This window comes from Homo sapiens, chromosome 13, assembly GCF_000001405.40.
Source record: "Homo sapiens chromosome 13, GRCh38.p14 Primary Assembly".
Classification (NCBI taxonomy): domain Eukaryota; kingdom Metazoa; phylum Chordata; class Mammalia; order Primates; family Hominidae; genus Homo; species Homo sapiens.
Window position 1 is genome coordinate 113,296,778 of NC_000013.11, and position 27,179 is coordinate 113,323,956.

Here is a 27,179-nt window from a genome sequence, read left to right on the forward strand (position 1 = left end):
CCTTCGCCCATCCCTGGCCGCGCACCCGGCCGGTCACCCGCGCTGCCACCCACACCACCCTCCTGTCCATAAAGAGCCCGCGTTTGGGACGCCTCGCAGGCTGAAGGGAGGCCTGGGCGTCCGCGATCCGTCTGCCCTTTCTCCCCTCGCGGGCTTCCTCTTTCCTCACTTTCTCCCGCCACTACTCTTCCTCTTCCTTTTCCGCGAACCCAGCCCACTTCCCGTTTCAGGACCTCGGCTCGGCCCCAGTCCCCCGGACCAGGCCGGGTCACGTGGGTCCAGGGTCACGTGCCGCTGCGGGTCACGTGCCGCTGCGGGTCACGTGTCGGCCTGCATCACGCGTGAGGGGGCGCGCGGTGCTGGAAGCTGCCGCACCTGCGGGGAGCCGAGCCGCCGGCGCTCGACGCGCGCGCTCTCGCGAGACCCGCGGGATCACGTGACGCCCGGGCGCGGCGCAGCTCACGTGACAAGCGCTGCCGGCCGCGGTGTCTTCTTCGTGCCGGCGTCGCAGTGGCCGGGCCTCTTGCGTCTGGTAACGCCGCTGTCTCTAACGCCAGCCCTTGGCGCCCGCGCCCCGCCACCGCAGCGCCCGGCAGTCCGCGGCCCAACCGCCGCCCGCGCCCCCGCTCCCCGCACCGTACCCGGCCGCCTCGCGCCATGGCGGCCCCCGGCAGCGCCCGGCGACCCCTGCTGCTGCTACTGCTGTTGCTGCTGCTCGGTGAGGGGGTCGAGGCGGGGCCTGGGAGCGGCGGGACCGGGCGGAGCCGAGGTCCCTGGGTCTTGAGGGCGGGGGACTGCCGGGTCGTTGTCCCGCGGGTCGCCCCGCACCCACTGCTCCTGGTCCCGGCCGGCTCTGCCCGCGGGCGGGTGTTTCTCTCGGGGTCGTAGGGTCGGAGCGGAGCTCAATGGCAGGTGCTTGGGGGACCAGGAGGTCTCATCCCAGGACCTGGCTCCTCTAAGGTCTGTCTCACTGAACTCAGTTTTTCTGTGGTGGTGAGTGCGAAAGGGAACTTCCGATGGCTTGCTCGGCGGTCTGGTGCTTTCAGGTCGTTAAGTTTCCTGGCAAGTTGAGGCGGTGAGATCTAGACGAGGCTGCGCCGCCGAAGGTGGCAGGGACGTCTGTGGTCTCAGCTCCCGGGTGGGTGACCTAGATCAAGCTCTTCCCAACATGGATTTCACCCAGGACAGGGAGAAGCCGGTGCGAGCATTCCCCACCTTTGTACTTGAACCTTTCTCCTCTTTCAGCGGTGTGGAGGAGATGCGAGTGTATTTATGTTATTGTGAATTCACATGTATGTTAAAATAATTTTTAAAGTTATCTTTGGGATTTCACAAGATTCCGTAGTAGACAAGATGAGGGAAAGCTGGCCTCAGACTCACGGTGGCAATGTTCATGTCTAGTAAGTAGTTTAAAGAGCGCCGTTCCTGTAGGCCGAAATGCGGGACCAGGGAACACGTGGGGAAGCACCCTTCTCTTCTGTCAGTTTATAGAGCTCAGATGGGCAGTAGGTGCTCAATATTGTATTGACTAGTGAATTTCGTTCTCATTTATTGTCTTAATAAGAGGATGTGTGCTGTCTCTTTAAGACAGTCCGGATTGCCCCCCGCCAACACTATTCTTTCACCTCCTCCCCCCGCCGCCCTCCCCCGTAATATGAGAAGATTATCTTAAATGCCAGGATCTGAAAGGTGATGTAGAATCAAGCTGGGGGAGTGTGTGTGAGTTAAGTAGATATAGAAATACACTCCTGTACACATCTGCCTTGACTTCTTTAAATCCCTCAGTCCCATCCAGCTGTAAAACTCTGTTACTGTGAGTGAATGGATCTTGGCTTCCCTTTTTTGTTTTGCCTGTTGTGTAAAATGAATTCTTTGAACTGCCTGAATAGCCACAGAGATGAACTTATTCCAATAGTAAGCCTGAAGCCTTGCTCAGCTCCTGCGACAGGGTCAGGTGTAGTTAATGAAAGGAGTTGCAGAAACAAGTTTTGTCATGTCACAGCAACTGCATTGTTCTTTGTTACAGATGCTCACAAGCCTCATAACTTTGATGTTTTGTTTCATGTTTTAAAAACTCACTTCAGGCCGGGAGCAGTGGCTCACGCCTTTAATCCCAACACTTTGGGTGGCCGAGGCAGATGGATCATGGCGTCAGGAGTTCGAGACCAGCCTGGCCAATATGGCGAAACCCGGTCTCTACAAAAATACAAAAATTAGCTGGGCATGGTGGCGCACGCCTGTAATCCCAGCTACTTGGTAGGCTGAGGCAGAAGAATTGCTTGAACCCGGGAAGCAGAGGTTGCAGTGAGCTGAGATCAAGCCACTGCACTCCAGCCTGGGCAACTGAGGGAGACTCCGTCTCAAAACAAAAAAAAAATTAACTTTAAAAATGAAGAGAAAAAATCCATAACTCCCTAATATTGTGATTGGAATATTGCTTGTGTAATCAGTCTTCTAAGATCTGTTCCATTATATCTTTTATGTTTACAATCTTAACTTTTTTTTTTTGAGGCGGAGTTGCTCTGTGCCCAGGCTGGAGTGCAGTGGCACAACCTCGGCTCACTACAACTTCTGCCTCCTGGGTTCGAGCAATTCTTCTGCCTCAGCTTCCTGAGTAGCTGGGATTACAGGCACCCGCCACTATGCTAGGCTAATTTATGTATTTTTGGTAGAGACTAGGTTTAACTATGTTGGTTAGACTGGTCTCGATCTCCCGACCTCGTGATCCGCCTCCCTCTGCCTCCCAAAGTGCTGGGAGTACGGGTTTGAGCCACCGTACTTGGCCCAAGAATTTTTTTTTTTTTTTTTTGAGGCAGAGTCTCACTCTGTCACCCAGGCTGGAGTGCAGTGGCGTGATCTCCGTTCACTGCAGCCTCCGCCTCTTGTGTTCAAGCAGTTCTCCTGCCTCAGCCTCCCTAGTAGCTGGGACTACAGGTGCGCGCCACCATGCCTGGCTAATTTTTGTAGTTTTAGTAGAGATGGGGTTTCACCATGCTGGCCAGGCTGGTCTCGAACTGACCTCGTGATCCACCTGCCTCAGACTCCCAAAGTGCTGGGATTACAGCCATGAGCCACCGTGCCTAGCCAAAATCCAACTTTTAAAAAAGGCCTTTTAACAACTTGCATTTAAAGATATTTAAAATGTTTATTTTAATGTGCGATTTCACCAAAAATCCTTTTTTCTTAAAAAAAGAAACTGCTCAATTACAAATTTCCACTATATTAATAATTAGGCATTGTTTAAAGCTACTGTGTTTGAATACTTAGAAAGCTCAAACATGAACTGAAACTTGTCCTGATAGATAGGATTAGCTGTGATTGCGTAATGTGACCCTTTAAACCATTGATGTCAGCAGGATGACCGCCTTACCCTTTCCACTTGAACAACTGTCACTTAGGAGGTTTGAACAATTTTATACTCGGCTGGGTGCAGTGGTTCACGCCTGTAATCTCAGCACTTTGGGAGGCCCAGGTGGGCGGATCAGCTGAAGTCAGGGGTTTGAGACCAGCCTGGCCAATGTGGTGAAACCCCGTCTCTACTAAGAATACAAAAATTAGCCAGGCGTGGTGTGGTGGCAGGCGCCTGTAATTCCAGCTACGTGGGAGGCTGAGGCAGGAGAATTGCTTGAACCTGGGAGGCAGGGGTTGCAGGGAGCTGAGATCGTGCCATTGCACTCCAGCCTGGGCAACAAAATCGAAACTCAATGTCAAAAAAAAAAAAAAAAAAAGAAAAAGAAAAGAAAGAAAAGCTGGGTGTGGTGGCTCATGCCTGTAATCCCAGCACTTTGGGAGGCTGAGGCAGGCCGATCACTAGGTCAAGAGATCGAGACCATCCTGGCCACAACATGGTGAAACTCCATCTCTATTCTTTTTAAAAATATTTTTAAAAAGTTAGCCAGGCGTAGTGGCACAGGCCTGTAGTCCCAGTTACTCAGGAGGCTGAGGCAGGAGAACTGCTTGAACCCGGAAGGTGGAGGTTGCAGTGAGCCGAGATCGTGCCACTGCTCTTCAGGGCAACAGAGCGAGACTCCATCTCAAAAAAACAAAGAAAAAAATTTTTTTTCTACTAACCGATGTTACCTTTGATTGTGCAGATTGTCAGTTATGCGGTGGAAAGAATGAATTTGTCAGCAGATTTGAGGTCAGAATGTCTTTGTAGCCCTGTAATTTTGAATTTGTATTGCATTAGCCCCATCCCAGACAACGTTACCCTTTCTTCTCTGTACCCAAGACTTTTATTGCATGTGCTTCTACATGGTAACATCTGTTCGGCTGCACTGGGATTATTTTTGCCTGTGTATCTCCCTTCCTTAACTGACAGGTAGTAAGTGCTGAGTACATATATGAAGAAAGGATCAATTTTATAGCAGTGGCTCTCAACCAAACATATGCACGGATCCACACGATCAGCTTTTTAGAAATATACATACCACAGCGAGGCACAGTGGCTCATGCCTGTCATCTCAGTGCTTTGAGGCTAAGGCAGGAGGATTGCTTGAGATCAGCCTGGGCAACATGGCGAGACCAGTGTCTCTACAAAAAAAATTAAAAAGAAATATACGGCCGGGCACGGTGGCTGTCACGTGTAATCCTAACACTTTGGGAGGCCGAGGTGGGTGGATTGCCTGAGCTCAGGAGTTCGAGACCAGCCTGGGCAATATGGTGAAATCCCATCTCTACTAAAATACAAAAAAAATTAGTCGGGCATGGTGGCGTACCCCTGTAGTCATAGCTACTTGGAAGGCTGAGGTAGGAGAATTGCTTGAGCCCGGGAGGCGGAGGTTGCAGTGAGCGAAGATCATGCTACTGGACTCCAGCCTGGGTGACAGAGTGAGACTCTGTTTCCATTTAAAAAAAAAAAAAAAAAATATATATATATATATATATATATATATATATATATATATATATATATTTACACACACACACACTTATACCTTGCCTCTAGAGGTTGTGATTCAGTGCCTGGGATGGTATTTTTTTCCTTTAGTTCTTCATAAATGATTGTGCATCATTGGTTAAGTAGAATAAAAATACCATATTTAAAAGAATCAAGCCAAGAAAAACTAAGATGTGATTTCTTTTTTTTTTTTTTTTTTTTTTGAGACGGAGTCTCGCTCTGTCGCCCAGGCTGGAGTGCAGTGGTGCGATCTCGGCTCACTGCAAGCTCCGCCTCCCAGGTTCACGCCATTCTCCTGCCTCAGCCTCCCGAGTACCAGGGATTACAGGCATGCGCCACCATGCCCGGCTAATTTTGTATTTTTAGTGGTGACAGGGTTTCTCCATGTTTGGTCAGGCTGGTCTCAAACGCCTAACCTCAGGTGATCTGCCCACCTCGGCCTCCCAAAGTGCTGGGATTACAGGCGGTAGCCACCACACCCAGCCTAAGATGTAATTTCTTAATAAATTGTTTTTTCTTCTTTTTTTGAGACAGTCTCTTTATGTTGTCCAGTCTGGAGTGCAGTGGCACGATCTCAGCTCACTGCAACCTCCACCTCCCGGGTTCAAGTGATTCTTCTGCCTCAGCCTCCCGAGTAGCTGAGACTACAGGCATGCGCCACCATGCCCGTCTAATTTTTGTATATATTTTTTAGTAGAGACGGGGTTTCACCATGCTAGCTAGGCTAGTCTCAAACTCCTGACCTCAGGTGATCCGCCTGCCTCAGCCTCCCAAAGTGCTGGGATTACAGGCTGGGATTACGGGCTGTGCCCGGCCTAATTTTTTAAAATGAAGTTTTTTACTCATTTCTTCAGATGGTAATCTTTAATGTCAAAAGCGAGTATTTCTTAATTTTTATTTATTTTAATTCAAAAAAATTAAATTTTTTTTTTAAGAGACAAGGTCTTGCTGTGTTGACCAGCCTGGTCTGGAACTCCTAACCTCAAGCAGTCCTCCGCTTCCTCAGCCTCCCAAAGTGCTGAGATTACAGGCATGAGCCACTGCACCCAGCCAGTGTTTCCTCATTGGAAGCCCGTTCCCTCAGTCATCAAGTGCTGGAGAGGCAGCGTGGCTCAGAAGTGGCACGTCCTGTGAGTCAGAAGACCCCTTCTAGATCTAGGTCTCCGCCACTCACTAGCTGTGTGACCTGGGTGGGTTAGTTGACCTCTCTATGCCTTAATCTCCCTATGAAGAGTTGTCATGATAACTGGGATGTGCTTAGAGCAGCACCTGGCACAAAGTAAGTGCATTCCAAGTGCTTGTTAAATGAGATAGTTTTTGATGTTTTGTGTCAGATACTGAGGATTGAATGATGAACTTGATGGGAACCCTCTGTACCTGTGCAGATGTTTAATAACAGCTGACATCAAAGCTGGCGTCAGTGCCGGGCACCAAATGCTCAGCTGCTCCGACAGCCCTGAGGCCTTGGCACTCTCTCCTCCTGCTCGTGGGTGCAGAGACTGGGGATTGGGCTCTGCTACTGGCCATGGTTGCACAGCTAGTAAGTGCTGCAAGAACCTCCAAGAACTGAGGGCTGTGACTCAGAAGCACGCATGCTTCCCACAGCGGCACTTGTTTCAGAGAACAGAATTTCTCCCAAGTGGGGGTATTTTGAAGCCACAGTTACTCCTTTATGTGATCCCTGGAGAAGTGGTCCTGTTCGTGTCTGAGTACAGGACTGCCGGAGATAGCAGTCACCAGTAGGCCAGGGTGCCCACCTTGGAGATGCTGCCAACGGCTGTCCTGTTGGGCTGTGACACCTGTCAGGTTACTGGAAACATTGTAACTTACTTGAGGTTTTTTGTCTTTTTTTTTTTTTGCTACCCAGTTGCCACTGTTGTGGAGGTTTTTAAAAAAACTTCTGACCCTTATAGCATACATACATTTCCTCCTCAAGCTCTGTGTGCTGATGCTCTTATTTTCTTCTATACCAAAATTGCCTTCTGAGGGTAAGTTTATTTTAATAACTCAAAATTCCTGGGTCTCTCCAGAGTAATACAGGCATCTTGTGCTGCCAAAGCTTACTTTAAATTTATTTAAATGATATTTCTTTGTTTTCCTCTGAAAGCTGAGACCTGGCTGGGCATGGTGGCTTACACCCATAATCCCAGCACTTTGTGAGGCTGAGGCAGGTGGATCACTTGAGGCGAGGAGTTGGAGACCAGCCTGGCCAACATGGCAAAACCCTGTCTACCCCGTCTCTACTAAAAATACAAAAAGTAGCCAGACATGGTGGTACAAACCTGTAGTCCCAGCTACTCAGGAGGCTGAGGCACGAGAATCGCTTGAACCTGGGAGGTGGAGGGCTACTGCACTCCAGCCTGGGCAAGAGTGAGACTCAGTCTCTAAAAAATAAAAATAAAAAAGCTGAAACCCTCAGCATATTTACTAAGTGAAAAAAAAATTGTATAATTGAAAAATGACTTAGTTTGAAATATTTCCTAATGAAGTGCTTCGGGTCAGTGAAAAGTGTTTGAGGAAACTTATAAAAGGGCAGCTTAATAAAAGCCAGCCTATGGCTGCTCCCATGTGGGCATCCGGGTTGTCAGTGGTGACTGTGGGCCCTGTGACTCCTCACCTGAGGGCGGGGTGGGCAGTCTCCCTGTCCACGCTGAGCTCCAGTCAAGTGTTAAGTCTCTGGCGTCTGCTGTGTCTGCCTGTCCGCTGCTTCTGCCTTGCTGGCGTCTGCTGTAGCTTCTGTACACTCATCTGATCTTTCACAAGAGTGAGAATATTTTGTCTGTTTTTAGAAACCTTTACTATGTCAAAAATAAGTGGTAGAATCTTCCCTAGATTCTCTAGATTCATTGGAAATGCCGTTAGTATGATCCTGCCTCAGTGTTGCAGAGTGTGGCTTGAAAAACCAAGCAAAGCAGACAGTAGATTGGAGGTTTCCTTGCACGCCCTACTTTGTTTCATTGTCGTGTAGCACCTTTTCTTTTTCTTTTTTTTTTTTTGAGACAGAGTTTTGCTCTTGTCACCCAGGCTGGAGGGCAGTGGTGCAATCTCGACTCACTGCAACCTCGGCCTCCCTGGTTCAAGTGATTCTCCTGCCTCAGCCTCCCTAGTACCTGGGATTACAGGCGCCTGCCACCATGCCCAGATAATTTTTGTATTTTTAGTAGAGACGAGGTTTCACCATGTTGGGTAGGCTGGTCTTGAACTCCTGACTTCATGATCCACCTGCCTCAGCTTCCCACCAAAGTGCTGGGATTACAGGCGTGAGCCACTGTGCCCGGCAGCACCTTTTCTTTATGGACATAGATTTTGGTATTTCCTTTACCAAAGGGAAGATAGGTGGGACTACTTCTGGTTATATGCTTCGCTTTAGGCTTGAAGAACAGTTGCTGTAAAGATTTTATTTTGTGAAAGACCCAAGGTTGAAATGAGTCGGATTCATTGGAATCCATTACTTTTCCAGGGAATAGGATTTTAAATGAAAAGCTAAGCATCCTCTCTTTCAATATCTGCCCTCACAGTGTGCCTGAGTTGCATTTACACTTAGAGTGACAGATGAGACTCGGGTGTGTGTGTGGTTGGAAGGCTGTGCTCACGCAGTGTGAGATCAGCCCCTGGGTGGTGAGTGCTCACTGGACTGGCATGCACGAACTTGTAGTGGCAGAGACAAGTGAAAGCATGTCATTTCTGCACGGATTCCAGTGGTGGCAGATAGGTGTTTGGCGTTAGAACAGGCAGAAACACCTGTTTTCCAATCTGTAATGAAAGAACTGTGTAATAACGTGCAATTTGTACAATTACCAGTGTCTCTACCGTAGTGATCAGATTACATTTGTTGCCAAACATCTTGATCAGGGAAGTGGAGTATGAGTAAGTCAGAGAGGAAATATTTAGCAGTGACCACTGTCCAGCTGGAAAGACCTATAGAGCTTCCATTCTGTCCCTTTGCTTCAGGATGGGGAAGGGAAGCCACTCCACCGATGTGTAGTGCTGTGAGGACCTTTCTGAAATTGGGCAAAGAGCTCAGCACTTTGAGTCCATGAGAAATAAAACTGACCAGACGTTAAGTAGCAGGTGAGGACCACAGTGAAAGATCCTGCAGCCTCTCCCATGGATTTCTGCAGATGGGTGAGTTGTGCCTTCAAGGCACCACGTCTTACAGAGATCCTCTGAGAAAGGCGGAACAGCGTATGCCTAGGATGATGCAGAAATTGACATGTGCCTTCCTGATAAGTGTTCTGGAATAAAGCACTAAATAGCAATAGACTAGGTTGGCAAACTCAATCAGATGGGCTTAGAGATAACAATTCCAGAATAGTATCCGAAAGGGACAGGGCACCAGGTGAACTGGCTGCGTAATCCATGTGTCTGGTTGTTCATTGAATTTAAGAAACACAGTGGAGGCTGGGTGCAGTGGCTGACACCTATAATCCCAGCACCTTGGGAGGCCAAGGTGGGTGGATCACCTGAGGTCAGGAGTTCAAGACCAGCCTGGCCAAAGTGGCAAAACCCCGTCGCTACTAAAAACAGAAATTAGCTGGGTTTGGTGGCACGTGCCTGCAGTTCCAGCTACTTGGGAGGCTGAGGCAGGAGAATTGCTTGAACCTGGGAGGTGGAGGTTGCAGTGAGCTGAGATCACGCCACTGCACCCCAGCCTGGCGACAGTGAGACTCCGTCTCAAAAAAAAAAAAAGAGAAACAGTGGAATCTTGTAATAAAAGCCATCACTGCTACAGCTGTGGAAAATGGAAATACTCGGTCGTATTTTCTGGACAGTTTTTGATGGTCTCCGTCTTCCCTGGAATTGACAGGCCTCATGCATTGTGCGTCAGCAGCAATGTTTATGGTGAAAAATGGCAACGGGACCGCGTGCATAATGGCCAACTTCTCTGCTGCCTTCTCAGTGAACTACGACACCAAGAGTGGCCCTAAGGTAGGAAACACCAGGGCACTTCATGCTTCCCTTGTGTGTGTGGAAAGATGATTTTTAACATTTCAACCAAGTCTTTGAAAAATGGCCCCATCTGAACATGGTGCTTTTCCTATCTGCATATCTCCTTCTGGTGTTGTCAGTAACCTGCGCTGTCATGTGCCATAGCCACAGGCACAGTAACAAACCTGTATATGTGCTGCACCTCACTGTTCATCATGAACATTTTCCTTTTTTTTTTTTTTTTTTTTTTTGAGACGGAGTCTCGCTCTGTCACCCAGGCTGGAGTGCAGTGGCGCGATCTCTGCTCACTGCAAGCTCCGCCTCCTGGGTTCATGCCATTCTCCTGCCTCAGCCTCCCCAGTAGCTGGGGCTACAGGCGCTCGCCACCACGCACAGCTAATATTTTGTATTTTTAGTAGAGATGGGGTTTCACTGTGTTAGCCTTGATGGTCTCAGTCTCCTGACCTCGTGATCCACCCGCCTTGGCCTCCCAAAGTGCTGGGATTACAGGTGTGAGCCACCGCGCCCAGCCTATCATCAACATTTTTCTAGTTTTCTTTTTTTTTTTTGAGATGGAATCTTGGTTTGTCGCCCAGGCTGGAGTGCAGTGGTACGATCTGAGCTCGCCACAACCTCCGTCTCCTGGGTTCAAGCAGTTCTCCTGCCTTAGCCTCCTGAGTAGCTGGGACTACAGGTGCCCACCACCACGCCTGGCTGATTTTTGTATTTTTGGTAGAGACGGGGTTTCACCATGTTGGCCAGGGTGGTCTCAAACTCCTGACCTCAAGTGATCTGCCTGCCTTGGCCTCCCAAAGTGTTGGAATTACAGGGGTGAGCCACCCCTCCCAGCTCTAGTTTTCTTCGTGATTGTCTTTTATAATCATAATGTAATACTTTATTATGTTAATTCACCATAATTTGTTACACACTCCCCTATTAGTAATTGGTAAGTTGTCTTGAATCTTTTTCATGCTCTGTGAATGTGGCTTTTTTGATTTAGAGAGTTATACTGCAAGAAATGTATATAAATGGTTGGTTGACATGCAATGCAAACACTGTACTAGTTTGATTAAAATGTTCCTTAGTGGTTTTGTTGAAATGGCTTTGTGTTTCTTTGGGATGACTAAAGCCTTTTGGAATAACAAAATATTTTAAAAATCCAAGACATAGTAAGATCTTATCTCTTTTTTAAAAAAAAAAAAAAAAGCCAGACATGGTGGAGTGTGCCTGTGGTCCCAGCTACTTGGGAGGCTGAGGTGGGAGGATTGCTTGAGCCTGTGAGGTCGAGGCTGCAGTGAGCTATGATCTTGCCACTGCACTCCAGCCTGGGTGACAGAGCGAGACCATCTCCAAAAAAAAAAAAAAAAAAAAAAAATCCAGTCTCAAATTATAAATACTTGTCAAAGCCTTTTTTCTTTTTTCTGAGACAGAGTTGCACTCTGTCCCCCAGGTGGCTGGAGTACAGTGCCAAGATCTCGGCTCACTGTGTCTTCCACCTCCCAGGTTTGAGTGAGTCTCGTGCCTCAGCCTCCTCAGTAGGTGGGACATCAGGTGCATGCCACCATGGCCAGCTAATTATTTGTATTTTTAGTAGAGACGGGGTTTTGCTATGTTGGCCAGGCTGGTCTTAAACTACTGGCCTCAAGTGATCTGCCCACCTTGGCCTCCCAAAGTGCTGGGATTACAGGTGTGAGCTACCGTACCTGGCCTCCAAGCACTTTTTTTTTTTTTTTTTTTTTTTTTGAGGCAGAGTTTTGCTCTTGTCACCCAGGCTGGAGTACAATGGCGCGTTCTTGGCTCACTGCAACCTCTGCCTCTTGGGTTCAAGCAATTCTTCTGCCTCAGCCTCCCAAGTAGCTAGGATTACAGGCATGCGCCCAGCTAATTTTTGTATTTTTAGTAGAGACAGGGATTCTCCATGTTGGTCAGGCTGGTCTCAAACTCCTGACCTCAGGTGATCTTCCCACGTCGGCCTCCCCAAGTGCTGGGATTACAGGCGTGGCCCAGCGTACCTGGTCTCCAAGCACTTTTTATTTAATTTCTACATCACTTTTTTAATGTTTGGTTTTGGTGGTTGGATTTTTTAAATATTCTATTATAAATTATGTTTCACAAGTGAGGTCACCTATATGCTGTTATGCACTTTGTTATTTCACAGAACATGTCTTTATCACCTTGTGTAGTTTCGTGTTGTTTTTTGGCCCACGTTAGTATACTGCTTCACTGTAGTTCATTTGACCTATCTAGTTTACTTTGATGAACATTAAGTGGTTTTCCAGTTGCTCGTTTTGCTTATAGTAGTAAATTTAAACATTTCTGCTATAAACACCTTCTTTGTTTAAAGAAACATTATTTAAATGAACATTTCTATAGTAAAAAAGTAGTGATAGCTTTTCTCAAATATATATCTCACCCTGAAGCTGGTGTGAATTGTTTCAATTTCAAGACGCTTTAAATTCTGTTATAAATTATATTAACATAAAATGAATTTATGGGGTTGTTTTGTTTTGTTTGGAGACAGAGTCTTGCTCTGTTGCCCAGGCTGGAGTGCAGTGGTGCAGTCGTAGTTCACTGCAGCCTCAAACCTAGGCTCAAGCAATCCTCCTGCCTCAGCCTCCTGAGTAGCTGGGACGACAGGCAGACACCACCATGTCTGATTAGTTTATTTTGTTTTTGTAGAGATGGGGTCTTGCTATGTTGCCCAGGCTGGTCTTGAACTCCTGGGCTCAAGCAATCCCCCCACCTCAGCCTCCCAGAGTGTTAGCATTACAGGTGTGAGCCACCATGCCCAGCTGCAAATTTTTGATTATATGAATTATTAAGCCAACTTTCTCTTACACCTGAAATACTTTTCAGTCTTTTACTGACATGTAATACTAACCTTTTTTTGGTTTATATTAAAAATGAGTACCTCAGTAGTGATATCTTAGTTGGAAATGAAGTATAAGTTTATATCAGACTTACAGAAAATCTCTTTCTTTGAACTTTTAATAACCTGCATCCCAATTGGGTTACATTTAATTGTGTTTATTCTAGAACATGACCTTTGACCTGCCATCAGATGCCACAGTGGTGCTCAACCGCAGCTCCTGTGGAAAAGAGAACACTTCTGACCCCAGTCTCGTGATTGCTTTTGGAAGAGGACATACACTCACTCTCAATTTCACGAGAAATGCAACACGTTACAGCGTCCAGCTCATGAGTTTTGTTTATAACTTGTCAGACACACACCTTTTCCCCAATGCGAGCTCCAAAGGTAAGAACCAAAATGGGCCGATTATGAAGTGATAGAAAATTGGGTTGGAGGATTGTCTAAAGTTACTTTTACCTAAGAAGTACAGGCTGGGTGTGGTGGCTCACACCTGTAATCCTAGCACTTTGGGAGGCTAAGGCAGACAGATCACTTGAGGTCAGGAGTTTGAGACCAGCCTGGCCAACATTGCGAAACACTGTCTCTACTAAAAATACTAAAATTAGCCAGGTGTGGTGGCGGGCACCTGTAATCCCAGCTACTCGGGAGGCTGAGGCAGGAGAATCGCTTGAACCCAGGAGGCAGAGGTTGCAGTGAGCCGAGATGGTGCCACTGCACTCCAGCCTAGGCGACCAAGTGAGACTGTCTCTAAAAAATAAAAAACACACAGCCAGGCGCGGTGGCTCACGCCTGTAATCCCAGCACTTTGGGAGGCCGAGGCGGGCAGATCATGAGGTCAGGAGTTCGAGACCAGCCTGATCAACATGGTGAAACCCCCTCTCTACTAAAAATACAAAAATTAGCTGGGCGTGGTGGCGCGCGCCTGTAGTCCCAGCTACTCAGGAGGTTGAGGCAAGAGAATCGCCTGAACCCAGAAGGCGGAGGTTGCAGTGAGCCGAGATCACGCCACTGTGCTCCAGCTTGGGCGACAGGGCGAGACTCTGTCTCAAAAAAAATAAAAAACACATAAAGTAAACTAAGTACTATAAGTAGTTTGCAATTGTGATTTTTTTTTTTTAATCTAGAAATCAAGACTGGAATCTATAACTGACATCAGGGCTAAAATAAAAAACACATAAACTAAGTACTGCAAGTAGTTTGCAATTGTGATTTTTTTTTTTTTTAATCTAGAAATCAAGACTGTGGAATCTATAACTGACATCAGGGCAGATATAGATAAAAAATACAGATGTGTTAGTGGCACCCAGGTCCACATGAACAACGTGACCGTAACGCTCCATGATGCCACCATCCAGGCGTACCTTTCCAACAGCAGCTTCAGCCGGGGAGGTAGGACGCTGACCCTTGGCCCTCTGGTGCTAGTGGTTGGGTAGCTGGGCTGCAGTGGCTGCGGGTGACCTCACTGCTCTGTGTCCTGGTGCTGGGCTCTGCCTGGAACGCGTGTGCACACAGCCGGCGACGTCTCTGCAGAACGTTCTCATCCTTCTTCCTAGGGCAGGTGACTTGTAGATGAGGGTAGACACATGTTGATTAAAAAGGGTGGAATATTGAAGTGAAATATCCCGGGACAGAGACAGATGTTGTGTGGTCTCCCGTGGGAGCTAAAGCAGTGGGAGTCGGCGGGGGGCGGGTAGAGAGAGAGGTGATCACCAGGGGCTGGGGTTAAGTTGGTCAGAAGATAGAGCGTTTCCGGAAGACAGGAGGAATTAGTACAGCATGTGACTGCAGTTAATAATGTATTCTGGCTTGAATATTGCTAAGTAGATTTTAACTCTTCTCACCATAAAAAAGTAAGTGTTTGATTTTAGCTGTCACACATGTAGGTGTATTTCAAAACATCCTGACACACATGGTAAACGTATACAATTATTACTTGAAAATGTCAGAAGGGCAAAGCAGTTGAAACCTTTGTGCTTCTACTGGGGCAGAGATGATGGGACCAGGGTCACAGATCTCTTGCAGTTTGAGCCAGTTGCCTTCACACAGAGACATAGTCTTATCTCCATCCAGCTCTGGCCGGCCAGCTTAGGGACAGGTGCAGAAAGACCAACGCTGCCTCTCTGAGGAGGTCAGGGCTGCGATGATGTACCTGCTAACCCAGCCGCCGGGCTCTGGGGTCAGGCAGGGTCCAGGCCACCTCCTAGCCCTGTGATCTTGAGCAGGGTAGTTTACCTCTCATTTTCTTTGCATGTGGCATGAGATTAAAAGCCTGTCTTCAAAGGTTGTTGGAATTAAAAGAGAAATGTATGCAAAATGTGTATCTCAGCATCTGGCACAGAGTTAAGTAGCAAGCACCTGGTAAATCCTGTTACTTTTGAGGAGCTTCTCTCCCGAGCCTCACAGTCCAGGTCATAGGTTGTTGTCATTTTGCTGAAGCGTGAGGGCCTGTGATTTGCCTTAGGGTGAGCTTTCCCGGCTGATAGAAATATGTATGGAGACATCCCTTAGGGTGGGCTTTCCTGGCTGCTAGAAATATATGGAGACATCACAGCCTTCTCTAATCTTGAGAGCTACTGTGGAGACCTTTGGTTTGCAACATTCCTCAGCAGTCTTGCTTAAAGGCTGAGGAGTGACTGCTGGGCTCCACAGGAGGATCGTCCGTCTCACTCCTCCCCGAGGAGCAGGTACTCTTGCAGGTCGGCACCCCATGGTGCTGGGCCGGTCTTGCCCACCTCCAATTTCCATACAGCCCATGAGCTAAGAACGGCTTTTCGATTTATAAATGTAACATACCAAAAATCAGAAAACGAATATTTCTTGACACATAAAGATTATGTAAAATTCAGTGTCCATAAGTTAAATTTTCTTGGAACACAGCCACACTCATTTATTTACACATTATCTGTGGCTGCTTTTGTATTAACAGTGGCAGGGCTGTGTTGTCTTGACAGAGAGCCACGGCCCACAAAGTCTGAAATATTTACTGTCTGTAGCTTTGCGGCAGACTTTGCCTTCCCTGGTGAGTGGGTGAAAAGGAGCCCAACTTGGAAACCCCGGGTGTGACTGGGACTTGATGGGGCCACGTGGGCTCCCATAGGGGAGGCTTGGAAGGAAACACACTTAGGAGCTGGGTCCTCTGTAGGTGCTGCTGCCTTTAATCCTCAACACAGGGCCCCGGGGGCCGTGGTGACAGCCGCTTTCCTGGTGCAGCCTCTGTTCACACGGAGCCTGGAGTCGTGTCTGCTTCATCAGGAAGAGCGGGCTAGAGTCCTCTCACATGGGCCGCGTGTGTCTGAGGACGGACGCCTGGCAGCCTGTCTAGGTGTGTTCATGCTCTCAGACACACCTCAGCCAGAGCTAAAGATAACTTCAGCTAGGGGCAGTGCTCCCTACCAAGTGGGAGTTAGCGTAACACATGGGGGTGACTAGTGTTCACGGTTATCGATTTCCAAATTATCTGGGCTCCACACCTAGCTGGCTACCTCTGGGCTGCATCAATGTGGCTTGAAGAGGAAAAGGAAGGGCACGCACTCTCTGTCAGAGCTTGGGAAATGAGAGAGAATTGGATGCTGACCTTGTCCGGGGACTCCCTACTGGCTAGGCCTGGACACGGTTGCAGAACGTGTCTCCTCCCCATGTCGCTCTGTGACCGAGGGGTGCGCATGGCATGACCGCTCACTCACTCCTGCCTGGAAGTGAAGGGCTGCTAGGTGGAGGTCAGCAAGGATGTTGAGTGCCCTGAGACGGGTGGCAGGATTCTCTAGATGAAAAATAAGGCTTCACAGGTCCAGAGAAGCTTGCTAGGTTCTTTTGAGAAACCTGTTTCTTCAGGTTAATAATTACTTTTAAGATAGACTATTTTTTAGAGCAGTCTTAGGTTTCTGTGTATTCTCTGCCGCTGCGCATGTACAGCCTTCCTCTGTGTCCAGATCCTGGACGTTGGTTCCTTTTTTAATGGAGAACACGCATGTGATTCCAAATGGAAAAAGGCCCGACAGCCCAGCCCTGGCCACTTGCCCCTCCTGGAGGCAGCCAGTGTGGAGATGCCAGTGTGCCTGGGGCGTGGCCTCCTAGAGGGAGTCAGTGTGGAGATGCCGGTGTGCCTGGGGCGTGGCCTCCTGGAGGGAACCAGTGTGGAGATGTCGGTGTGCCTGGGGTGTGGCCTCCTGGAGGGAGTCAGTGTGGAGATGCCCGTGTGCCTGGGGCATGGCCTCCTGGAGGGAACCAGTGTGGAGATGTCAGTGTGCCTGGGGTGTGGCCTCCTGGAGGGAGTCAGTGTGGAGATGCCCGTGTGCCTGGGGCATGGCCTCCTGGAGGGAACCAGTGTGGAGATGTCAGTGTGCCTGGGGCGTGGCCTCCTGGAGGGAGTCAGTGTGGAGATGCCCGTGTGCCTGGGGCATGGCCTCCTGGAGGGAACCAGCGTGGAGATGCCGGTGTGCCTGGGGCGTGGCCTCCTAGAGGGAGTCAGTGTGGAGATGCCCGTGTGCCTGGGGCGTGGCCTCCTGGAGGGAACCAGTGTGGAGATGCCCGTGTGCCTGGGGCGTGGCCTCCTAGAGGGAGTCAGTGTGGAGATGCCCGTGTGCCTGGGGCGTGGCCTCCTGGAGGGAACCAGTGTGGAGATGCCCGTGTGCCTGGGGCGTGGCCTCCCGGAGGGAGTCAGTGTGGAGATGCCCGTGTGCCTGGGGCGTGGCCTACTAGAGGGAGTCAGTGTGGAGATGCCCGTGTGCCTGGGGCGTGGCCTCCTGGAGGGAACCAGTGCGGAGATGTCGGTGTGCCTGGGGCGTGGCCTCCCGGAGGGAGTCAGTGTGGAGATGTCGGTGTGCCTGGGGCGTGGCCTCCTGGAGGGAGCCAGTGCGGAGATGCCCGTGTGCCTGGGGCGGGGCCTCCTGGAGGGAACCAGCGTGGAGATGCCCATGTGCCTGGGGCGTGGCCTCCTAGAGGGAGTCAGTGTGGAGATGCCCGTGTGCCTGGGGCGTGGCCTCCTGGAGGGAACCAGTGTGGAGATGCCAGTGTGCCTGGGGCGTGGCCTCCTAGAGGGAGTCAGTGTGGAGATGCCCGTGTGCCTGGGGCGTGGCCTCCTGGAGGGAACCAGTGTGGAGATGTCGGTGTGCCTGGGGCGTGGCCTCCTAGAGGGAGTCAGTGTGGAGATGCCCGTGTGCCTGGGGCGTGGCCTCCTGGAGGGAACCAGTGTGGAGATGTCGGTGTGCCTGGGGCGTGGCCTCCTAGAGGGAGTCAGTGTGGAGATGCCCGTGTGCCTGGGGCGTGGCCTCCTGGAGGGAACCAGTGTGGAGATGTCGGTGTGCCTGGGGCGTGGCCTCCTAGAGGGAGTCAGTGTGGAGATGCCCATGTGCCTGGGGCGTGGCCTCCTGGAGGCAGCCAGTGTGGAGATGCCAGTGTGCCTGGGGCGTGGCCTCCTAGAGGGAGTCAGTGTGGAGATGCCCGTGTGCCTGGGGCATGGCCTCCTGGAGGGAACCAGTGTGGAGATGCCAGTGTGCCTGGGGCGTGGCCTCCTGAGGGAGTCAGTGTGGAGATGCCCGTGTGCCTGGGGCGTGGCCTCCTGGAGGGAACCAGTGTGGAGATGTCGGTGTGTCTGGGGTGTGGCCTCCTAGAGGGAACCAGTGTGGAGATGTCGGTGTGCCTGGGGCGTGGCCTCCTGGAGGGAGTCAGTGCGGAGATGCCCGTGTGCCTGGGGCGTGGCCTCCCGGAGGGAGTCAGTGTGGAGATGCCCGTGTGCCTGGGGCGTGGCCTCCTGGAGGGAGCCAGTGCGGAGATGCCAGTGTGCCTGGGGCGGGGCCTCCTGGAGGGAACCAGCGTGGAGATGCCGGTGTGCCTGGGGCGCGGCGTCCTGGAGGCTGGGCTTCCTGCCTGGGTGGCGCTTCACCAGAAAGCCTCATGTATCTTGTCTTTTTTTTTTTTTTTTTTTTTTTTTGAGAGGGAGTCTTGCTCTGTTGCCCAGGCTGGAGTGCGGTGGTGCCATCTCGGCTCACTGCAACCTCTGCCTCCCGGGTTCAAGCGATTCTCCTCCCTCAGCCTCCTGAGTAGCTGGGATTACAGGTGCACATCACCACGTCTGGTTAATTTTTATATTTTTAGTAGAGGGGGGCGTTGCACCATGTTGGCCAGGCTGGTCTTGAGCTCCTGACCTCCCAAAGTGCTGGGATTATAGGTGTGAGCCACCGTGCCCGGCCCATCTTGCCTTTCAATACATCATCTTATCTAAAAAAGCTCGGGGACCTCATAGATTTTATTTTAAAAGGAAATGAAGCACAAGCCACCTTTGAATGGACTTTCCTGTTGGTTTTGTACCTTCCTTCCTGAGTATCTTCAAAGTAGGGCACATGTGGCTGGGCACGGTGGCTCAGTCCTGTAATCCCAGCACTTTGGGAACTCGAGGTGGGTGGATCACCTCAGGTCAGGAATTCGAGACCAGCCTGGCCAACATGGCGAAAACCCGTCTCTACTAAAAATATAAAAATTAGTCGGGCGTGGTGGCAGGTGCCTGTAGTCCCCCCTACTCAGGAGGCTGAGGCAGGAGAATTGCTTGAACCCGAGAGGTGGAGGTTGCAGTGAGCTGAGATCATGCTACTGCACTCCAGCCCAGCTGACAGAGTGAGATTCCATCTCAAAAACAAAAAAACAAAGTAGGGCAGATGACTGTCACTCCAGAGGGTCTGAGTGCAGCTCTGCCTGAGGCTGGAGTCAGCCAGATATCCATCCAAACCGGATTTCCAGCCCAGGCCCATATGGGGTTAGCAGATCTACAGTGAGGCTCAGCCAGGCTTTTGGGTTTATGAGTTCACCGGGAGGAGTGGGGTGTCTTCGTCTTTTATCCTCAGGGTCTGATAGGTGCACGCTTGTTGAATGAATCAGAGGACTGCCTGACTCCTGTTAGGAGTTGAAAATGAAGGTCACCGTGTCTCATCTCCCACCCAATTTGGCATGATTTTTTTTTTTTTTTTTTGAGGCAGAGTCCCGCTCTGTCACCCCAGGCTGGAGTGCAGTGGCGTGATCTCTGCTCACTGCAAGCTCCGCCTCCTGGGTTCACGCCATTCTTCTGCCTCAGCCTCCCAAGTAGGTGGGACTGTAGGCGCCCGCCACCACGCCTGGCTAATTTTTGTATTTTTAGTAGAGACGGGGTTTCACCGTGTTAACCAGGATGGTCTTGATCTCCTGACCTCGTGATCCGCCCGCCTCGGCCTCCCAAAGTGCTGGGATTACAGGCGTGAGCCACCGTGCCCAGCTGCAGCATTTTTTTTTCATTCCTAGGAACAGAGTCTGACTCCTAGCTTAAATGGAAGGAATCGATGGTAAAACATTGGAGGTGGAGGTTGCAGTGAGCTGAGATGGCGCCGCTGCACTCTAGCCTGGGTGGCAGAGCAACTGAGACTCTGTCTCAAAAAAAAAAAAAAAGAACTACCATCAGAAAGGCGGAGAGGATGAGAGTCCCTCAGGACAGGTGAAAGGGGCAGGAGAAGGTCAGAGGCCTGACACACCCAACATTGTCACAAAAAACTGTAAGAGAGGCTGTGGGAGCTATGAGTCGGGAACCTGGGTGCAAACCAATCTCATCCTCACAGACACCCTTGAGGGTCTGAATTGCAGCTTGCAGGTTGATGTGAGTATCTGCTGTTGCCGGGAGAGGAGGAGGGGCCTTCAGAGCACATGAGCTTTGGAAAGGCCCGGCTGTGTGCTGCTCTCCGGAGGGTGCTGGAGGAGGTGTGACAGTGGACCCTCAGGTCTCCCCAGAGGCTCCTGTGCCACCATCTCCCCCCGGGCAGCGCAGGGCACTCTCCAGTGCGTTCCGTGATGAGCTCTCCGTCACTGTCCTCCGCCCTCAGCAGGAAAGACTTTGGTATTTAGTACGCATTCAGGGAAGGAGAGTGTGGGTTTGCGTTTGTAATTCAGGTAGAAGGACGAGGGCATTTTATCCACACTTATTTCTCAAGTTCCAGTTTTTTAAACTGGTGGTTAGACCTGATGATGTTTTATTTGTGTTTCCAGCTTCTTGTGACCACTCTACAGAAACAGGGTGGGAAATGAATGTGCCACATGGATCACAGGTGAAAAACAATTGTCAAAGCAGCGTAGGTTACACTTTTTCTGTGCGTCGTGTGGCCATCTAGACTAGAATTTGGACAAGACTGGCCGGTTTTGCACATTTAACTTTTGCCTGTTTAACCCTGGTCTGTAACATTTTATAAAGGAACCGTGAAGCTGCTTTTTTTTTTTTTTTTTTGAGACAGGGTCTCCCAGGCTGGAGTGCAGTGGCACAATAACTGCTCACTGCAGCCTCAGCCTCCCAGGCTCCAGTGACCCTCCCTAGTCAGCCTTCTGAGTAGCTAGGACTAAGGCGCATGCCACCATGCCTGGCTCATTTTTTAAAAAAACTTTGTGGAGATGGGGGTCTCCCTATGTTGCCCAGGCTGGCCTTGAACTCCTGGGCTCAAGCAGTCCTCCTTCCTTGGCCTCTCAAAGCCCTGGAATTACAGGCATGAGCCACTGCGCCCAGCAAGTGAAGCTGTTTTGGAAAGGACTGGTCAACCTGCAGCTTCGCCAAGGGCAGTGAGCAAGGGTCCCTGAGCACATCCCAGGTTGGGACGGCTCCCAGTGGCCGTCAGTGCCTCTCACTTCAGAGTTTGGTGTGGTTACTGCAGCTCCTCTCTGCCATCTTGTGCTCTGTCCAGAAGGGGCTTTTACACCGGGGTGCGGGGGCACTCCTGTGTGTGTCTCAGAACCCGTTGGGGTGCAGTCATAGGCGACGTTGCCTGTCTCTTTCCTGCCCTGAGTAGATGGGATATGAAGGTGGGAATTGGCCACTGAATGTTGAGATGGAAGCGGAAGCAGCAGGTGACTGATGGAGTTATGAGTGGCAGATTCCCTGCAGGGTTGCCCACCCTGGATATGTGGGGCTCACGCGTGGTGACTCAGCCTAGCAGAGATGTGGAAAGGATCGAATTGGGTGGAAATTATATAAATATTATTCTTGAGTATCCACAGAAACAAGGTGGTAAAAGAAAGAACCTGATTTCAAGGTTGATGGTGTGTTAGTGAGAGTGTTGGCCACAGAAGACTCGGTAGAGCTCTACCTAGGGTTCAGTCTGTCTTGACTTTGAATATAAATTTGTGTTGTGAACATCTTGGTGGGTGAATTGCTGAAGGACAGAGTCACATTCAGACTGCTGGGCATTCCCCAGGGGTGCCATGTGCCCCCCCACCCCCACGGATTCCCTGAACTGTGCCCTCTTGTCTGGGGATTTCAGACGCACCCACACTCACTGCCTTCTCCCTCGTGAGGATGCTTGCCCATCCCCCACAGCCCCCTCCCCAAATGAAGACCCAACACAGCTGGCTAGCCTTGCCCGCCTTTGAGTCTCTGCTCACACGTGGGGTCCTCATGGAGACTGCCTGACCCCTGTCCTGCCAGAGGGCCTCCTTGGCTGCTCTGCGTCCCACCTGGCCGGTCTGTGTGTGCTGCAGACCCTCTGTTTCCCTCTGGGTAGTGTTTCCAGCACGATCCTGGCGCTCACCCGACAGCTCAGGGAGCAGTGTCTGAGTCGTCACCATTTCCCATGGGGTGAGGTGGCCGGCCACGCAGCACAGCTTCCTGCGTCCACTCCTTCGTGACAGCGTTCAAGGCTTTCTCACCCTCACTTTAGGAAGAGGGTGGCACAGTGGCCCCTGTCCAGCCACGGGGCTTGGGGTGTGGTGGGCGGTGCCTGCTGCCCAGGCAGAACCGTCCTGGGTAGTGGGAGGTGGAGGCTGAGGGTGCCCCACGGGCCTGTGCCTACCGCCCTGAGCCGTCTGCAGGACCCAGCTCTTTCCTGCGCGTCTAGAAAGGCATTAGCGAGAGCCACCTTGGGAGACTGAGAAAATAGTCACCAAGGACGCCAGAGTCCACAGATGTAGTTTTGTTTCTGAGTTTGGATCTTACTGTAACTGCTGATGGTTATGAGAAACCCAGACCTGAATCTCCCTCCACTGCACCTGCAGAGACACGCTGTGAACAAGACAGGCCTTCCCCAACCACAGCGCCCCCTGCGCCACCCAGCCCCTCGCCCTCACCCGTGCCCAAGAGCCCCTCTGTGGACAAGTACAACGTGAGCGGCACCAACGGGACCTGCCTGCTGGCCAGCATGGGGCTGCAGCTGAACCTCACCTATGAGAGGAAGGACAACACGGTAGGGCTGGGGCCTCACCTGGGAGAGGGGGACGGCACGGTAGGGCTGGAGCCTCTGCTCCCTGTGCACTGAGAACACGCGTCTCTGCACGTCATGCTGTTAAGTCAGGATGGGAGCTTAGCTTGCAGGACGTGACCCTAGAGGACAAGAGCTGGCGTCTGTGTCAGTGAGTCCATTTTGTAGGATCACAGCCGTCCTGCTGGTTCCATCATCCAAGGCTGGTGTCCCAGCATGGCCTATTGGGCAGTGTGGCCCACAGAGCCTACAACTTGGCCCCTGATAGAACCTAAGTTTTCTTTACATATTTATCATGGAAACATTTAAGTGTTACATTTTTATAGTTTTCTTTTGAAATAGTTTTTCTCCCCTAGTAGTGACAGGCTGTGGGGTTGTGGGGGTCGACTTGCGTGCCGTGGGGTGAGTTTGCAGGGCTGACTGCTGCAGGGGGAGGTGGTGCTGCTGGTTGCCCTCCACGCGGGGACGCTGCACTCCAAGAGCAGCTGTCACGGGGTCAGGGAGAGTCATCTTGGGATCCCGAAATCTGTACTAGTGTGGTCTTTCAGTGTTTTCCTTCTGGTTTTGGTTAAAACAAATGTGGCCTTGAATTCACGGTTTCAGGACTGTTTGTCTTTTCGAGAGTGTGGAGGACCTGAGCTAGGGTGGTGACTTGCTTGCTTGTCTTATGCAGACGGTGACAAGGCTTCTCAACATCAACCCCAACAAGACCTCGGCCAGCGGGAGCTGCGGCGCCCACCTGGTGACTCTGGAGCTGCACAGCGAGGGCACCACCGTCCTGCTCTTCCAGTTCGGGATGGTGAGGCTGGGGCGGCACCTCTCTGGGGGCGCCCACTGTGTCTCCACCACATCTTTTTGTGCCCTGGGTCTGCTCATGGGAGGCAGCGTTAGGAAGGAGGCGGCCTCACTTTTTTCTGCCTTCCCTTTATCCTGGGCTTTTTAGTTCCTTGGTTCCCCTCCCCCCTTTCCATTCCATTCATAGATGCAGCAGATGATGTGGGCGGGGCTGCTGTGCCCACAGTTGGAGTGGCTGCAGGGGAGGGCATGCAGGCCGTGCGGCCTTCTGGCTTCAGATGCTGCTGCCCTGTGGTTCCGTGGTGGCATTTCTGCCTGGGAGGACTCCTGTGCAGTTAGCAACATAAGACATGAAGCATATAATTGTCACTTGTCAGTCTTTTTAAATCGCTGTGCAAATGAATTAACAGTTCAGTTTCTTATAATTTTAGCTTTCCAAATCATGCTTTCCTGTGCTGTGATAGCTCCTGCAGTCCCCGTTTTCCAGAGACTGACTCTCAAGAGGTCTGGAAGGACCAGCCTGGGCAGCACAGGGAGGCTCCATTTCTGCAAATAATAAAACGAGTTAGCTGGGCGTAGTGGCGCACACCTGTGGTCCCAGCTACTTGGGAGGCTGAGGTGGGAGGATCACTTGAGCCCAGGAGTTAAGGTTGCGATGAGCCGTGATCACTCCACTGCACTCCAGCCTGGGTGACAGAGCAAGACTCTCAGAGAAGGGTCTGGAAGGAACTAACCAAAATTTTCATTCCCCAGAGATACACAACGCCTTTTATAGACAAGATCTTTTGCAGTTTTGTTCTAATACTAGAAATGTAGGAAGTCAGGTTTATTACCCAATGACCATTCACGTTTGATGATAAATGTGTGAATCTACTGGGGTTAAAGATCATCTTTCTATGAATCTGCTCCGTGATTAAAGATCATTTTTCTTTTTAAGAATGCAAGTTCTAGCCGGTTTTTCCTACAAGGAATCCAGTTGAATACAATTCTTCCTGACGCCAGAGGTGAGAACCCACAATCTCTGCGAGCCCCGCCCCCGCCCGCGCGCCCAGGGTATTCTGGAGCCACTAGACCTCTGTGTGTGTTGCAGACCCTGCCTTTAAAGCTGCCAACGGCTCCCTGCGAGCGCTGCAGGCCACAGTCGGCAATTCCTACAAGTGCAACGCGGAGGAGCACGTCCGTGTCACGAAGGCGTTTTCAGTCAATATATTCAAAGTGTGGGTCCAGGCTTTCAAGGTGGAAGGTGGCCAGTTTGGCTCTGGTGAGTGTCACCGAGGGCAGCTGTCGCGGGGTGTGGAGGACGTGCTTCAGACTCCGCCTGTGGACGTTTAGTCGCTTCCGTGTGGGCTGGGGCGACGCCCCTGTTCCTCTGCAAGGAGCTGTTTCTTCTTGCCGGTCTGAGATTCTAGAGGTAACTCCCCCTGCTTTAGAGAGGCCCAGCGTGTCTCTCAGCTGGGAGCCCCTGGTACCATTTGAGAGTAAGGGAATCATTTTAAGAAACAGTGGTGGCGCTTCTCCCATGAACGTTGAATACAACACTGTCATCTGATGTGCACAGAGGCCCTGGACGCAGCACAGCTGTCCGGCCACAGCCCCTGATTCCAGACGGGGGAGAGACGTGTGTGGTTTCCTCGCCGTGCAGAGAGCACCAGTCTCTGCAGCGGCTTCCCCAAGTGACAATTCCAGCTAGAGCTGGAACCTTCCGCCAGGGTTCCTCTTTGCCTTTTGGCTGATGTGGGGGAGTGGTGGGGAGAGAGGCCTGTTTGCAGGCCCCTGTGTGAGCAGAGCCCTGACACCATCCGTCTGTCTTGGCAGTGGAGGAGTGTCTGCTGGACGAGAACAGCATGCTGATCCCCATCGCTGTGGGTGGTGCCCTGGCGGGGCTGGTCCTCATCGTCCTCATCGCCTACCTCGTCGGCAGGAAGAGGAGTCACGCAGGCTACCAGACTATCTAGCCTGGTGCACGCAGGCACAGCAGCTGCAGGGGCCTCTGTTCCTTTCTCTGGGCTTAGGGTCCTGTCGAAGGGGAGGCACACTTTCTGGCAAACGTTTCTCAAATCTGCTTCATCCAATGTGAAGTTCATCTTGCAGCATTTACTATGCACAACAGAGTAACTATCGAAATGACGGTGTTAATTTTGCTAACTGGGTTAAATATTTTGCTAACTGGTTAAACATTAATATTTACCAAAGTAGGATTTTGAGGGTGGGGGTGCTCTCTCTGAGGGGGTGGGGGTGCCGCTGTCTCTGAGGGGTGGGGGTGCCGCTGTCTCTGAGGGGTGGGGGTGCCGCTCTCTCTGAGGGGGTGGGGGTGCCGCTTTCTCTGAGGGGGTGGGGGTGCCGCTCTCTCTGAGGGGGTGGGGGTGCTGCTCTCTCCGAGGGGTGGAATGCCGCTGTCTCTGAGGGGTGGGGGTGCCGCTCTAAATTGGCTCCATATCATTTGAGTTTAGGGTTCTGGTGTTTGGTTTCTTCATTCTTTACTGCACTCAGATTTAAGCCTTACAAAGGGAAAGCCTCTGGCCGTCACACGTAGGACGCATGAAGGTCACTCGTGGTGAGGCTGACATGCTCACACATTACAACAGTAGAGAGGGAACATCCTAAGACAGAGGAACTCCAGAGATGAGTGTCTGGAGCGCTTCAGTTCAGCTTTAAAGGCCAGGACGGGCCACACGTGGCTGGCGGCCTCGTTCCAGTGGCGGCACGTCCTTGGGCGTCTCTAATGTCTGCAGCTCAAGGGCTGGCACTTTTTTAAATATAAAAATGGGTGTTATTTTTATTTTTATTTGTAAAGTGATTTTTGGTCTTCTGTTGACATTCGGGGTGATCCTGTTCTGCGCTGTGTACAATGTGAGATCGGTGCGTTCTCCTGATGTTTTGCCGTGGCTTGGGGATTGTACACGGGACCAGCTCACGTAATGCATTGCCTGTAACAATGTAATAAAAAGCCTCTTTCTTTTTGGGGTGGGCCTTGTCCTTCTGTCAGCTAAAATGGGAGCTCATGAGAGAAGGACGTCAGGGAAACGGGGTTGAGGGTGGTCTCGGTGCAGAGAGAAGGGTGTCAGGGAAACGGGGGGTGAGGGTGGTCTTGGTGCCAGACGTAGGGAATGGTGTTGGGAGTGGCCCGAGTGCCTGGCACAGTTGTCTGGTTCATTCATGTAACATGATAATTTTTAAATCATTAAAAAAATTACCTTTCATACAGATACCATGGAATACTATGCAGCCATAAAGAGGTATGAGATCTTGTCCCCTGCAGGGACACGGATAGAGCTGGAAGCCATTATTCTCAGCAAACTAACACAGGAGCAGAAAACCAGACACCACTTGTTCTCACTTGTAAGTGGGAGCTTCTGATGAGAACACATGGACACAAGGAGGGGAACATCACACACTGGGGCCCGTTGGGTCGGGGGCAGGGAGAGCATCAGGAAGAATAGCTAAGGGATGCTGGCTTCATACCTAGGTGACAGGATGGTCTGTGCAGCAC

General features: G+C 51.0%; 1 protein-coding gene across 3 annotated transcripts, besides 7 other annotated features; it reads left to right on the forward strand.

Annotated features, from left to right (window-relative positions):
* Positions 1-461: 461 nt before the first annotated feature.
* LAMP1 (lysosomal associated membrane protein 1) lies at positions 462-26,895 on the forward strand. Of its 3 annotated transcripts, none has more exons than NM_005561.4 (9): positions 462-718; positions 9,708-9,829; positions 12,866-13,085; positions 13,932-14,090; positions 22,692-22,879; positions 23,568-23,693; positions 24,627-24,693; positions 24,780-24,950; positions 25,505-26,895. In NM_005561.4, exons 1-9 carry the CDS (start codon positions 658-660, stop codon positions 25,642-25,644), a joined length of 1,254 nt encoding a protein of 417 aa, NP_005552.3. In that variant the 5' UTR covers positions 462-657; the 3' UTR covers positions 25,645-26,895. The 3 variants fall into 3 exon arrangements, with proteins under 3 accessions (NP_005552.3, XP_047286258.1, XP_011535796.1); XM_047430302.1 differs by lacking the exon at positions 462-718 and adding an exon at positions 862-960; XM_011537494.3 differs by lacking the exon at positions 462-718 and adding an exon at positions 8,857-9,025.
* Positions 593-872: a silencer, noted in NCBI's record as "silent region_5543". NCBI's record gives its function as "represses an Ori minimal core promoter by ATAC-STARR-seq in GM12878 lymphoblastoid cells {active_cell/tissue: GM12878}" and the evidence as "EXISTENCE:reporter gene assay evidence [ECO:0000049][PMID:35858748]".
* Positions 1,103-1,282: an enhancer, noted in NCBI's record as "active region_8037". NCBI's record gives its function as "activates an Ori minimal core promoter by ATAC-STARR-seq in GM12878 lymphoblastoid cells {active_cell/tissue: GM12878}" and the evidence as "EXISTENCE:reporter gene assay evidence [ECO:0000049][PMID:35858748]".
* Positions 3,177-3,471: a silencer, noted in NCBI's record as "tiled region #10208; K562 Repressive non-DNase unmatched - State 23:Low". NCBI's record gives its function as "represses a minimal TATA promoter and a strong SV40 promoter by Sharpr-MPRA in K562 cells {active_cell/tissue: K562}" and the evidence as "EXISTENCE:reporter gene assay evidence [ECO:0000049][PMID:27701403]".
* Positions 3,344-3,423: a silencer, noted in NCBI's record as "silent region_5544". NCBI's record gives its function as "represses an Ori minimal core promoter by ATAC-STARR-seq in GM12878 lymphoblastoid cells {active_cell/tissue: GM12878}" and the evidence as "EXISTENCE:reporter gene assay evidence [ECO:0000049][PMID:35858748]".
* Positions 7,958-8,123: a silencer, noted in NCBI's record as "fragment chr13:113959050-113959215 (GRCh37/hg19 assembly coordinates)". NCBI's record gives its function as "represses an EF-1alpha promoter that drives an FKBP-Casp9 reporter gene in an ReSE screen in K562 erythroleukemia cells {active_cell/tissue: K562}" and the evidence as "EXISTENCE:reporter gene assay evidence [ECO:0000049][PMID:32094911]".
* Positions 16,902-17,650: an enhancer, noted in NCBI's record as "H3K27ac-H3K4me1 hESC enhancer chr13:113967994-113968742 (GRCh37/hg19 assembly coordinates)". NCBI's record gives its function as "activates a minimal SCP1, AML or CMV promoter by ChIP-STARR-seq in naive and primed H9 embryonic stem cells {active_cell/tissue: H9 hESC(naive and primed)}" and the evidence as "EXISTENCE:reporter gene assay evidence [ECO:0000049][PMID:30033119]".
* Positions 17,651-18,398: an enhancer, noted in NCBI's record as "H3K27ac-H3K4me1 hESC enhancer chr13:113968743-113969490 (GRCh37/hg19 assembly coordinates)". NCBI's record gives its function as "activates a minimal SCP1, AML or CMV promoter by ChIP-STARR-seq in naive H9 embryonic stem cells {active_cell/tissue: H9 hESC(naive)}" and the evidence as "EXISTENCE:reporter gene assay evidence [ECO:0000049][PMID:30033119]".
* Positions 26,896-27,179: the final 284 nt, after the last annotated feature.